We start from the raw sequence: 14,683 nt of genomic DNA on the forward strand, positions 1-14,683 counted from the left end.
ATATAATACATTTTCATAATATAATTCTTCTAAAATTAATACATAGGATAAGATAATGTTTATATAATCAAAATAAATGCTCATGAAAAAGTTTAAAATTGATTTTGTGATTACTTGTTTAAGGCTTGAGTCTATGGCCAAAGAATAACTGATCTTTCCCTTTTGTGAATTTGTAGAGTAAGATCTTTTTATTCTCATATTGCTCCCTTCCTACGTTTGCATTTGCTTTCTGGAATAATTTTCTTTTTCCTTGAAGAAATGTCTTTGGTATTTTCTATAGTGGTGGGTCTGCTGATTACTTTTTGTTTAAAGGCTTGCTTTCTTTTCTCTTCTTTTCTTTTCTTTCTTTCTTTCCTTTCTTTCTTTTTCTTTCTTTCCTTCCTTCCTTTTTTCCTTCCTTCCTTTCTTTTCTTTTCTCTTTTCTTTTTCTTTATTTTCTTTCTCTCTCTCTTTCTTTCCTTCCTTCCTTCTCTTTTTCTTTTCTTTTCTTTCCCTTCCTTCCTTCCTTTCTTTCCTTCCTTTCTTTTCTTTTCTCTTTTCTTTTCTTTCTTTCATTCCTTTTCTTTCTCTCTTTCCTTCCTTCCTTCTCTCTCTCTTTTCTTTTCTTCCTTCTTTCTTTCTTTCTTTTTCTTTCTTTCTTTCCTTCCTTCCTTCCTTCCTCTCCTTCCTTCCTTCTTTCATTTCTTTTATTTTCTTTATTATTATTCTTATCCTTTAAGTTCTAGGGTACATGTGCACAACGTGCAGGTTTGTTACATGTGTATACATGTGCCATGTTGGTGTGCTGCACCCATTAACTCATCATTTACATTAGGTGTATCTCCTAATGCTCTCGCTCCCACCTCCCCCCACCCCACGACAGGCCTCGGTATGTGATGTTCCCCACCCTGTGTCCAAGTGTCCTCATTGTTCAATTCTCACATATGAGTGAGAAGATGCGGTGTTTGGTTTTCTGTCCTTGTGATAGTTTGCTGAGAATGATGGTTTCCAGCTTCATCCATGTCCCTACAAAGGACATGAACTCATCCTTTTTTATGGCTGGGCTGCATAGTATTCCATGGTGTATATATGCCACATTTTCTTAATCCCCAGTCTATCACTGATGGACATTTGGGTTAGTTCCAAGTCTTTGCTATTGTGAATAGTGCCACAATAAACGTAGGTGTGCATGTGTCTTTATAGCAGCATGATTTATAATCCTTTGGGTATATACCCAGCAATGGAATGGCTGGATCAAATGGTATTTCTAGTTGTAGATCCTTGAGGAATCGCCACACTGTCTTCCACAACGGTTGAACTAGTTTACAGTCCCAACAACAGTGTAAAAGTGTTCCTATTTCTCCACATCCTCTCCAGCACCTGTTGTTTTCCTGACTTTTTAATGATCACCATTCTAACTGGTGTGAGATGGTATCTCATTGTGGTTTTGATTTGCATTTCTCTGATGACCACTGATGATGAGCATTTTTTCATGTGTCTGTTGGCTGCATAAATGTATTCTTTTGACAAGTGTCTGTTCATATCCTTCGCCCACTTGTTGATGGGGTTGTTTGTTTTTTTCTTGTAAATTTGTTTAAGTTCTTTGTGGACTCTGAATATTAGCCCTTTGTCAGATGGGTAGATTCTAAAAATTTTCTCCCATTCTGTAGGTTGCTTGTTCACTCTGATGGTAGTTTCTTTTGCTGTGCAGAAGCTCTTTAGTTTAATTAGATCTCATTTGTCAATTTTGGCTTTTGTTGCCATTGCTTTTGGTGTTTTAGTCATGAAGTTCTTGCCCATGCCTATGTCCTGAATGGTATTGCCTAGGTTTTCTTCTAGGGTTTTTATGGTTTTAGGTCTAACATTTAAGTCTTTAATCCATCTTGAATTAATTTTGTATAAGGTGTAAGGAAGGGATCCAGTTTCAGGTTTCTACATATGGCTAGTCAGTTTTCCCAGCACCATTTATTAAATAGGGAATCCTTTCCCCATTTCTTGTTTTTGTCAGGTTTCTTAAAGATCAGATGGTTGTAGATGTGTGGTATTATTTCTGAGGGCTCTGTCCTGTTCCATTGGTCTATATATCTGTTTTGATAGCAATACCATGCTGTTTTGGTTACTGTAGCCTTGTAGTATAGTTCGAAGTCAGGTAGCATGATGCCTCCAGCTTTGTTCATTTTGCTTAGGATTGTCTTGGCAATGTGGGCTATTTTTTGGTTCCATATGAACTTTAAAGTAGTTTTTTCCAATTCTGTGAAGAAAGTCATTGGTAGCTTGATGGGGATGGCATTGAATCTATAAATTACCTTGGGCAGTATGGCCATTTTCACGATATTGATTCTTCCTATCCATGAACATGGAGTGTTCTGCCGTTTGTCTGTGTCCTCTTTTATTTTGTTGAGCAGAGGTTTGTAGTTTTCCTTGAAGAGGTCCTTCACACCCCTTGTAAGTTGGATTCCTAGGTACTTTATTCTCTTTGAAGCAATTGTGAGTGGGAGTTCACTCATGATTTGGCTCTGTTTGTTATTGGTGTATAGTAATGCTTGTGATTTTTGCACATTGATTTTGTATCCTGAGACTTTGCTGAAGTTGCTGATCAGCTTAAGGAGATTTTGGGCTGAGACAATGAGGTTTTCTAAATATACAATCATGTCATCTGCAAACAGGGACAATTTGACTTCCTCTTTTCCTAATTGAATACCCTTTATTTCTTTCTCCTGCCTGATTGCCCTGGCCATAATTTCCAACATTATGTTGAATAGGAGTGGTGAGAGAGGGCATCCTTGTCTTGTGCCAGTTTTCAAAGGGAATGCTTCCTGTTTTTGCCCATTCAGTATGTTATTGGCTGTGGGTTTGTCATAAATAGCTCTTATTATTTTGAGATACATCCTATCAATAGCTAGTTTATTGAGAGTTTTTAACATGAAGGGCTGCTGAATTTTGTCAAAGGCCTTTTCTGCATCTATTGAGATAATCATATAGTTTTTGTCTTTGGTTCTGTTTATATGCTGGATTACATTTATCGATTTTCATATGTTGAGCCAGCCTTGAATCCCAGGGATGAAGCCAGCTTCATCGTGGTGGATAAGCTTTTTGATGTGCTGCTGGATTCGGTTTGCCAGTATTTTATTGAGGATTTTTGCATCGATGTTATCAGGGATATTGGTCTAAAATTCTCTTTTTTTTGTTGTGTCTCTGCCAGGCTTTGGTATCAGGATGATTCTGGCCTCATAAAATGAGTTAGGGCGGATTCCCTCTTTTTCTATTGATTGGAATAGTTTCAGAAGGAATGGTACCAGCTCCTCTTTGTACCTCTGGTAGAATTTGGCTGTGAATCTGTCTGGTCCTGGTTGGTAAGCTATTAATTATTGCCTCAATTTCAGAACCTGTTATTTATTGGTCTATTCAGGGATTCAACTTCTTCCTGTTTTTTTCAGTTGGTAGGCTATTAATTATTGCCTCAATTTCAGAACCCATTATTGGTCTAGTCAGGGATTCAAATTCTTCCTGGTTTACTCTTGGGAGGGTGTATGTGTCCAGGAATTTATCCATTTCTTCTAGATTTTCTAGTTTATTTGCGTAGAGGTGTTTATAGTATTCTCTGATGGTAGTTTGTATTTCTGTGGGATCAGTGGTGATATCCCCTTTATCATTTTTTATTGCATCTATTTGATTCTTCTCTCTTTTCTTTATTAGTCTTGCTAGCAGTCTATCAATTTTGTTAATCTTTTCAAAAAACCAGTTCCTGGATTCATTTATTTTCTGAAGGGTTTTTTGTGTCTCTATCTCCTCAGTTCTGCTCTGATGTTAGTTATTTCTTGCCTTCTGCTAGCTTTTGAATGTGTTTGCTCTTGCTTCTCTAGTTCTTTTAATTGTGATGTTAGAGTGTCAATTTTATATCTTTCCTGCTTTCTGTTGTGGGCATTTAGTGCTATAAATTTCCCTCTACACACTGCTTTAAATGTGTTCCAGAGATTCTGGTATGTTGTGTCTTTGTTCTCATTGGTTTCGAAGAGCATCTTTATTTCTGCTTTCATTTCATTATGTACCCAGTAGTCATTCAGGAGCAGGTTGTTCAGTTTCCATGTGGTTGAGCAGTTTTGAGTGAGTTTCTTAATCCTGAGTTCTAGTTTGATTGCACTGTGGTCTGAGAGACAGTTTGTTATAATTTCTATTCTTTTTCATTTACTGAGGAGAGCTTTACTTCCAACTATGTGGTCAATTTTGGAATAAGTGCGATGTGATGCTAAGAAGAATGTATATTCTGTTGATTTGGGGTGGAGAGTTCTGTAGATGTCAGTTAGGTCTGCTTGTTGCAGAGCTGAATTCAATTCCTGGATATCCTTGTTAACTTTCTGTCTCCTTGATCTGTCTACTGTTGACAGTGGGGTGTTAAAGTCTCCCATTATTATTGTGTGGGAGTCTAAGTCTCTTTGTAGGTCTCTAAGGACTTGCTTTATGAATCTGGGTGCTCCTGTATTGGGTGCATATATATTTAGGATAGTTAGCTCTTCTTGTTGAATTGATCCCTTTACCATTATGTAATGGCCTTCTTTGTCTCTTTTGATCTTTGTTGGTTTAAAGTCTGTTTTATCAGAGACTAGGATTGCAACCTCTGCTGTTTTTTTTCCCATTTGCTTGGTAGTTCTTCCTCCATCCCTTTATTTTGAGCCTATGTGTGTCTCTGAACATGAGATTGGTCTCCTGAATACAGCACACTGATGGGTCTTGACTCTTTATCCAATTTGCCAGTCTGTGTCTTTTAATTGGGGCATTTAGCCCATTTACATTTAAGGTTAATATTATGTGTGAATTTGATCCTGTCATTATGCTGTTAGCTGGTTATTTTGCTCGTTAGTTGATGCAGTTTCTTCCTAGCATCAATGGTCGTTACAATTTGGCATGTTTTTGCAGTGGCTGGTGCCAGTTGTTCCTTTCCATGTTTAGTGCTTCCTTCAGGAGCTCTTGTAAGGCAGGCCTGGTGGTGATAAAATCTCTCAGCATTTGCTTGTCTGTAAAGGATTTTATTTCTCCTTCACTTATGAAGCTTAGTTTTACTGGATATGAAATTCTGGGTTGAAAATTCTTTTCTTTAAGAATGTTGAATATTGGCCCCCACTCTCTTCTGGCTTGTAGAGCTTCTGCCAAGAGATCCGCTTTTAATCTGATGGACTTCCCTTTGTGAGTAACCCGACTTTTCTCTGTGGCTGCCCTTAACATTTTTTCCTTCATTTCAACTTTGGTGAATCTGACAATTATGTGTTTTGGAGTTGCTCTTCTCGAGGAGTATCTTTGTGGCATTCTCTGTATTTCCTGAATTTGAATGTTGGCCTGCCTTGCTAGGTTGGGGAAGTTCTCCTGGATAATATCCTGAAGAGTGTTTTCCAACTTGGTTCCATTCTCCCTGTCACTTTCAGATACACCAATAGACGTAGATTTGGTCTTTTCACATAGTCGCATATTTCTTGGAGGCTTTGTTTGTTTCTTTTTACTCTTTTTTCTCTAAACTTCTCTTTTTGCTTCATTTCATTCATTCGATCTTCAATCACTGATACTCTTTCTTCCACTTGATCAAATCAGCTACTGAAGCTTCTGCATGCATCACGTAGTTCTTATGCCATGGTTTTCAGCTCCATCAGGTCACTTAAGGTCTTCTGTACACTGTTTATTTTAGTTAGCCATTCATCTAATCTTTTTTTCAAGGTTTTTAGCTTCTTTGCAATGGGTTTGAACATCCTCCTTTAGCTCAGAGAAATTTGTTATTACTGATCATCTGAAGCCTTCTTCTCTCAACTCATCAAAGTCATTCTCCATCCAGGTTTGTTCCGTTGCTGTTGAGGAGCTGTGTGCCTTTGGAGGAGAAGAGATGCTCTGATTTTTAGAATTTTCAGCTTCTCTACTCTGGTTTCTCCCCCTTTGTGGTTTTATCTACCTTTGATCTTTGTTGATGGTGACGTACAGATGTGGTTTTGTTGTGGATGTCCTTTCTGTTTGTTAGTTTTCCTTCTAACAGTCAGGACCCTCAGCTGCAGGTCTGTTGGAGTTTGCTGGAGGTCCACTCCAGACCCTGTTTGCCTGGGTATCACCAGCGGAGGCTGCAGAACAGCAAATATTGCAGAATGGCAAATGTTTCTGCCTGATCCTTTCTCTGGAAGCCTCGTCTCAGAGGGGCACCTGGCCGTATGAGGTGTCAGTTGGCCCCTACTGGGAGGTGTCTCCCAGTTAGGCTACTCGGGGGTCATGGACCCACTTGAGGAGACAGTCTGTCTGTTCTCAGATCTCAAACTCTGTGCTGGGAGAACCACTACTTGCTTCAAAGCTGTCAGCCAGGGATGTTTAAGTCTGCAGAAGTTTCTGCTGCCTTTTGTTCAGCTATGCCCTGCCCCCAGAGATGGAGTCTGCAGAGGCAGGTGGGCCTCCTTGAGCTGTGGTGGGCTCCACCCAATTCGACCTTCCTGGCCGCTTTGTTTACCTACTCAAGCCTTAGCAATGGCGGACGCCCCTCCCCCAGCCTCGCTGCCACCTTGCAGTTTGATCTCAGACTGTTGTGCTAGCAGTGAGTGAGTCTCTGTGGGTGTCGGACCCTCTGAGCCAGGCGCGGGATATAATCTCCTGGTGTGCCGTTTGCTAAGACCATTGGAAAAGCGCAGTATTAGGGTGGGAGTGTCCCAATTTTCCAGGTACCGTCTTTCATGGCTTCCCTTGGCTAGGAGAGGGAAGTCCCTGACCCCTTGCACTTCCCGGGTGAGGCAATGCCCCGCCCTGCTTCAGCTCACACTCCATGGGCTGCACCCACTGTCAGACGAGCCCCAGTGAGATGAACCCAATACCTCAGTTGGAAATTCAGAAATCACCCGAGTTCTGCATTGCTCACGCTGGGAGCTGTAGATTGGAGCTGTTCCTATTCGGCCATCTTGGAACCTCCTCTTTTCTTTTCTTTCTTTCTTCTTCTTCTTCTTTTTTTTTTTTTTTTTTGAGATGGGGTCTAATTATGTTGCCTAGGCTGCTCTTGGTCTTGAACTCCTAAGCTCAAGCAGTCCTCCCCCTTGACCTCTCAAAGTGCTGGGATTATAGGCATGAGCCACTGCGCTGGGCCTTAATGGTTATTTTCTAAGAATTATAATTTGACGGTGTTTTTCTTTAGTGTGTTAGTTTAACTTTCTGGTAAACATCCACTGATTTTAAAATTTTAATTATTATATTTTTCAGTCCTAGAATTTATTAACTTTTAGAGTTTCTAGTTCTCTGCTGAAATTTTCCATCTTGTCATTTTATAACTTGAAAGTTGTAGTCACAGTTAATTTTAAAATCCATGTCTGGTGATTGGATAATATTTGGTTCTCCTATAGTTCTATTTTATTTTCTGTATTTTTGTCTTGGTTTTGAGTCCATTCTTTTCATATTTCTGTTTCTGATTGAATGTTGGACATTGTGTGTGAAGAGTTTTAGAGATAATTTGAGACTCTGGATGATACTATATTACATAAGAAGGATTTTACTTTTTATTCTGGCAGGTCATTTAGTGCAGGCACGGATCACCTTAATCCAAGCAGGGACTGAGCTGAAATGAAGTCTGGCCTTGGGCTTTCTGAGGGCTGTTCTATTTCTGTTCCACTGTTATTCTTAAGATGTAATGCTTCAGAGAATTAGGGGTCCCAATAGTATCCTGGTGTTACCAGGACCTCTACTCCTTAGCAAATTCTGTACTTCAATTTTGTCCACCACCCGACCCCTGAGTAGAGTGACTTAATATCCCAAATTTCCATGAAAGATATTGAAGTTCCATCCTCCAAAATCCATGAAAGATATTAAAAATTCATTAAAACATTTTTGCTCAGTGCATCATGTGTTTCTTAAGAATCCTTCTCAGCAAGTGTCTGAGGCAACCCTGAACCATTGACTGGCACAATTGTTCAATTTAAAACTGCACTATGAAAGCTACATGGGAAAACACAATTTAATTTTCTATGGCAGCAATAATATAGTTATTGATAAAATGGCAATACTTATCCATGTCAGCCCTCTGGATCTGCGGGTTCTGCATCATCAGATTCAAGCAACCGTGGATCAAAAATACTTAAAAAAAATTAAAAAGTACAAATAAAAACACAATATAGTATAATAAATATCACATAACATCTGCATTGTATTAGGTTATATAAGTAATCTAGAGATGATTTAATGTATACAAGAGGATGTGCATAGGTTATATGCAAATACCACATCATTTTCTGTAAGGGACTTGAGAATCCATGGATTTTGGTATCCATGGGGGTCCTGAAACCAATCCTCTGTAGATACTGAGGGATGACTGTGTACAGTGGGCAGAGAAAAATGAGGTAGCAAATGGTTTAAAATAAAAGAAGAAGTCAAAATTATGAATGGTGGTGAAATTAGCAGATCATTTTGAATATTCCTAAAAGATCAAAATTTACTGATGAAGGAAGGCAGTGAAAATATTTTCATCCAAGACAAGAAAAAGTTTCCTTTTAAATTACTTGTCTTTATATAACTTTGAGATGGGAATGTTTTCATTTTGTATTTTGCAAATAAATAAGAAAAAGAGGGTATTTTGCCATAATCTCATAGTGAATCAGTCCACTGGACCCACATTAGGATCCACACTCAAGTTTTGTTCAGACTAAAAGCTATAAACTTTATGAAACCCTGATCAATAACCTAAAAAATGACTCAAGAACTATGATAATCTATTTTAATTTGTTATTCACTATCCCATAATCATGAAGAAGCTGATTATTATCATTGTCCTCTTAAAAGAATGATGTAGTGAATTAAGGTCTTTTACAGAAAACTATAGTTGATAGTTTCTGGGTTTAATGCATTTGATTCTCAGCTGAAAAGACAAGAAATGTAGGATATAAACTGTCATTGAAAAAATAATTTGTTAGTCATTAAAGCACCAATTACACAGTGCTTATTCATTAAACATTTATTTAGGAACTGCTTTTTGTAAGGTTCTCTGCTAGTCAAGCTGTAGGATAATAAAAGATTTTTAAAAGATAATGCCCTTGCTCAGTAGGATTTTATAATTTGGTATTAAAATAGTAGTCTTACAAATATTTCTAAAAGTTAATGCTTTTCTTACTTTTCTAGGTTACTCCAAAATTCTTCCAAGTTTGATTAGTTCTCTTGACTTCTGTTCTTTCAAGTTGGAAAACCTGGAGTTTCCTGATACGCCTCTTGAAGAATGGCAGGAAATAGATGAAAAAATTAATGAAATGAAATCACACTTGGATATATTGTTAAACCTTACTGGTATTGTTCCACAGCACATAGATGTGGATTCTGTTTCGTAAGTTCCCATAGGTTTCTTTTGTTCTGAGATAATTTTCCTAAAGGTTTGTTGCAATACACTTCATATATAATTCACTTTTTCAAAGTGTACAATTCTGTGGTGTTCAGTATATTTATAGATATAAGTAACCATTACCGGTCAATTTTAGAATATTTCATCACCTCAAAAAGAAGCCTTATGCACTTTAGCTATCATTCTGCAATCCTTCATCCTCTCCTACCGTCCTACCCCCAGCCCTAAGCAACCACAAATCTACTTTGTCTTTGTTGATTGTATTGTTATGAACAATTTTTTTTTTTTTTGAGGCGAAGTCTTGCTCTTATTTCCCAGGCTGGAGTGCAATGGCGAGATCTTGGCTCACTGCAACCTCTACCTCCCGGGTTCAAGTGATTCTCTTACCTTAGCCTCCTGAGTAGCTGGGACTACAGGCGCCTGCCACCATGCCCAGCTAATTTTTGTATTTTTAGTAGAGACGGGGTTTCACCATGTTGGCTAGGCTGGTCTCGAACTCCTGACCTCAGGTGATACGCCCACCTTGGCCTTCCAAAGTGCTTAGATTACAGGTGTGAGCCACCACACCTGGCCTGTTGTGGACATTTTATTTGAAAGGAATCATTGTACTGTGTGGTCTTTGTGTCTAACTTCTTTGACTTAGCATAATTTTTTCAAGGTTCATCCATGTTGTGGCATATTTCAGTAGTTCATTTTTATGACTGAATCATATTCTACTTATGGATATACCACATTTTATTTATTCATTTGTCCATTGATAGACACTTGGATTGTTTCCATCTTTTGGCCTTAATGAGTAATGTTTCAATAAACATTCATGTGCATGCTTTTTGTGGACAAACATTTGTTTTCATTTCTCTTTGGGTATATATCACCTAAGGAGTGGAATTGCTGGATCATATGGCAATTCTATTTTTAATAATTTGAGGAACTGCCAGACTGTTTTCCAAGGTGTTTTTGGAAAACCTACACAATTTTACATTCACATCAGCAGTGCATGTGGGTTCTGATTTCTCCACATACTTGCCAATACTTATTATCTGACTTTTGATTCTAGCTATAATAGAGGGACTGAAGTGTTATTTTATTGTAGTTTTGATTCACATTTCCCTAATGACAAATGATGTGAAGAATTGTTTCACATGCTTATTGGCTATTTGTGTATTTTCTTTGAGGGAAATTTTTTCTGTGCTGTTGTTGTTGTTGCTTGTGCTGGTGTCATAGCTAAGAATTCTTTGCCAAATCCAAGGTCATGAAAATTTACCCCTATGTTTTTTTGTAAGAGTTTTGTAGCATTTGCTCTCTTACATTAAGGTCTCTGATCCATTTTAGTTAATTTTTGTATATGGTATGTGGTAAGGGTCCAATTTCATTCTTTTGCATGTGGATGTTTAGTTGTACCAGCACCATTTGTTGAAGACTATTCTTTCTCCACTTAATGGTATTGACAATTTTGATGAAAATCAGTCATGGATTTATTTCTGAATGATTAATTCTATCACATTGATCTATATGTCCACCCTTGTGTCAGTAACACACTGTCTTGCTTATTCTTGCTTTGTAGAATGTTTTGAAAAGGAATGGGAAATGTGAGTCTTTCTACTTGACTCTTCTTTTACAGGATTATTTTGGCTTTTCTGGGTACCTTGCAATTCCGTATAAATTTTAGAATAAGCTTGTCAATTTTTACAAAGACATTAACTAGGATTCTGAAAAAGAATTTGTTGGATCTGTACATCAGAATGGGAATATTGCTATCTTAAACATGTTAAGTCTTCTACATGAACATGGGATGTTTTTCCAATTATTTGGATCTTCTTTAATTTCTTCTGAGTATAAGCTGTACACTTCTTTTGTTATATTTACTCCTAAGTACTTTTTAAATGTTATTGCAAATAAGATTTTTAAAACTTTATTTCAGATTGTTTATTGCATATGTATAGGAACACAACTGATTTTTAAAATATTGATCTTACATCCCAAAACCTTACTGAATTCATTTATTAGTTGCAATAATTTTTTAAAGGATTTCTTAGTATTTTCTATACAAAAGATCATACCTATAAATACAAGTAGTTTCTTTTTAATCTAGATGCCTTTGATTTCCTTCTCTTGCCTAATTGCTTTGGCTAGAACCTCAGTACAATGTTGAATGGAAGATGTTGTTCCTATTCTTATGGGAAATGCATCCAGTCTTTCACTATTAAGTATAATGTTATTTGTGGGTGTTTCCTAGATGCCTTTTATTGGATTTAGGAAGTTTTCTTCTATTCCTAATTTGTTGCATGCTTTTACATAAAAAAGTTGTTGGATTTTGACAAATGCTTTTTCTGTATCTAGTGAGATGATCATGTGATTATTTTTTTCATGTTCATATGATGTATTACATTCATTGTCTTTTTGGATATTAAATTAACTTTGCTTGCATAGGATAAATCCCACATGGTAATTGTGTAAAATACTTTTGATCAGTTCAGGATTCTGTTTGCTAGTCTTTGCATTGGTATTCATAAGAGACATTGGTCTATTTTATTTTCCTGTGATGTCTTCGCCTGGTGTTATATCAATGTAATACTGGCTTCATGAAATGAGTTAGAAGTATCCCTCCATCTTTATCTTTTGGAAGATATTGTGAAGAATTGGTGTTGATTCATCTTTGGCTCTTTGGGAGGATTCAGTGGTGCAGCCATCTGTGGGTAGGTTTTTGAGAATTGATTCAATCTCTTCACTTGTTAAAAGTCTATTTATATTGTCTATTTCTTATTGAATCAGTTTTTTGTGTGTGTCTTTCTAGAAATTTGACAATTTCATCCAAGTTATCTGATTTGTTGGCAAAATTGTTCATTGTATTCCCTTATAATCCTTTTTATTTCTGAAAGAAGATCAGTGCTAGCATCCCTTCTCTCGTTTCCAATTCTAATAATTTGAGCCTTCTCTATTTCTCCTGGTCAACTTAGCTAAATGTTTGTTAATATTGTTGATCTTTTCAAATAACCATCTTTTGATTTCATTGATTTCCTTTAGTGTTTTTCTATTCTCTATTGTATTAATTTCTGCTGTAGTCATTATTATTTCCTTCCTTTCACTTTCTTTACATTTAGTTTACTCTACCTTTTCCATAGTCTTAAGTTGAGCTGTTAGTTTATTGATTTGAGATTTTTCTTCTTTCTTAACACAGGTTTTACAGCTATAAATTTCCCTCTAAGGACTGCTCAATATGTTGTGTCTTCATTTTCTTTTTTTTTCTTTTTTTTTTGAGATGGAGTCTCGCTCTGCCACCCAGACTGGAGTGCAGTGGCATGACCTCAGCTCACTGCAACCTCCGCCTCCCAGATTCAAGCAATTCTCCTGCCTCAGCCTCCCGAGTAGCTGGGATTACCGGCATGTGCCACCACGCCTGGCTAATTTTTTTGTATTTTTAGTAGAGACAGGGTTTCACCATTTTGGCCAGGCTAGTCTCGAATTCCTGACCTTGTGATCCACCCACCTTGACCTCCCAAAGTGTTGGGATTACAGGCGTGAGCCACTGCGCCCGGACTATGTCTTCATTTTCATTAATCTCAAAGTATTTTTATGATTTCTCTTGTGATTTATTCATTGACCCATTGTTATTTAGGAGTATGTTATTTAATGTCCACATATTTGTGAGTTTCCCATTTTTTTCCAGTTTCAGATTTGTAATTTCATTCCATTGTAGTGTGAGTATATATTTTATATTATTCTAGCATTAAAATTATAGAGGTTTGTTTTACAGCCTAGCATCTTGTCTATCCTGGAGAATTTTCCATGTACACTTGAGAAGAATGTATATTTCATTTTTATTGGAGAAAGTGTTCTAGAGATGTCTGGTCTAGTTGGTTTGTAGTATTGTTAAAATCTTCTGTTTCCTTATTTATCATCTGTGTAGTGGTTCTAACCATTATTGATAGTGGGATGTTGAAGTCTCCAACTGTTATTCTTAAATTGTCTGTTTTTCCCTTCCTTTCTCTTGATGTTTGCTTCATGTATTTTTGGTACTTTGTTATTAGGTGCACACGTTTATAATTGTTATATCTTCCTGATGGAGTGATCCTTTTATAATTATAAAATATCCTTCCTTATTTTTAGTAACTTTTTAAATTTTAAAATCTATTTTATCTGCTATCAGTACAGCCACACCAGCTTTATTGTGGTTACTGTTACATATCTTTTCCTTTTATACTGTTATATACCTTTTGCTTTTAATGTATTTGTATCTTTGAATCTCAAGTGTGTCTTCTATAGAGACCATATAGTTGATTCATGTTTTTAATCCAGTCTGACAATCTCTGCCTTTTAATTGGATTGTTAAATCCATTTACCTTTAAAGATATTATTGACATGGTTGGATTTACCTCTGCCATCTTACTGCTTGTTTTGTTTCATGACTTTTTTGTTTCTCTGTTTTTCTTTTATTGTTTTTTTTGTATTGAATGAATACTTTCTAATGTAGAATTCATTTCTGTACTGACTTTTCTCTACATTTAAAAAGTTTTTTAAATGGCTTCTCTAGATTTTACCATAACCTCCTTAATTTAACAGAATTAGCTTCAGGTCATGCCTGTAATCCCAGCACTTTGGGAGGCCAAGATGGGGGTGGATCACCTGAGGTCAGGAGTTCAAGACCAGCCTGGCCAACATGGTGAAACCCTGTCTCTACTAAAAATATAAAAATTAGCTGGGTGTGGTGGTGGGTGCCTGTAATCCCAGCTACTTGGGAGGCTGAGGCAGGAGAATTGCTTGAATCCAAGAGGTGGAGTTTGCAGTGAGCCGAGATCGCGCCATTGCACTCCAGCCTGAGCAACAGCAGTGAAACTCTGTCTCAAAAAAAAAGAATTAGCTTCAGATTTATACTGGCTTAATTCTAGTGACATATAGATATACTTCTATCTAGTTTGATTCCTTTTCCCACCTTTTGTGGTATAATTTTATGCACATTACATCTCTTAATATTTGATATGGTTTGGCTCTGTGTCCCCACCCAAATCTCATCTTGAATTGCAATCCCCACATGTCAATGGAGGAAGGTGATTAGATCATGAGAGCAGTTACCCCCACGCTGTTCTCATGAGATCTGATGGTTTTATAAGCATCTGGCATTTCCCCTGCCTGCACCTCTATCTTTCCTGCCACCTTGTGAAGAAGGAACTTGCTTCTTTCTCCCCTTCTGCCATGATTGTAAGTTTTGTAAGTTTCCTGAGGCCTCCTCAGCCATGTGGAGCTGTGAATCAAATTAAACCTCATTTGTTTATAAGTTACCTAGTCTTGGCTGGGTGTGGTGGCTCACACCTGTAATCCTAACATTTTGGGAGGCCAACGTGGGCGGATCACCTGAGGTCAGGCGTTTGACACCACCCT

General features: G+C 37.2%; 1 protein-coding gene across 23 annotated transcripts in view; it reads left to right on the plus strand.

Annotated features, from left to right (window-relative positions):
* Window positions 1-14,683, plus strand: part of AXDND1 (axonemal dynein light chain domain containing 1) — a 189,031-nt gene that overhangs the window by 93,645 nt on the left and 80,703 nt on the right. For all 23 annotated transcript variants that reach the window (XR_921742.3, XR_921741.2, NR_073544.2 and 20 more), the window contains one exon: window positions 9,094-9,292. Coding sequence is in view for 20 of the 23 variants with exons in the window: in XM_011509168.2 (XP_011507470.1) it covers window positions 9,094-9,292 (199 nt within the window). In the remaining 3 variants the exon portion in view is untranslated. Of the gene's footprint in view, window positions 1-9,093; window positions 9,293-14,683 lie in introns of those variants that run through there.

The sequence above is a fragment of the Homo sapiens genome, chromosome 1, assembly GCF_000001405.40.
Source record: "Homo sapiens chromosome 1, GRCh38.p14 Primary Assembly".
Lineage (NCBI taxonomy): Eukaryota > Metazoa > Chordata > Mammalia > Primates > Hominidae > Homo > Homo sapiens.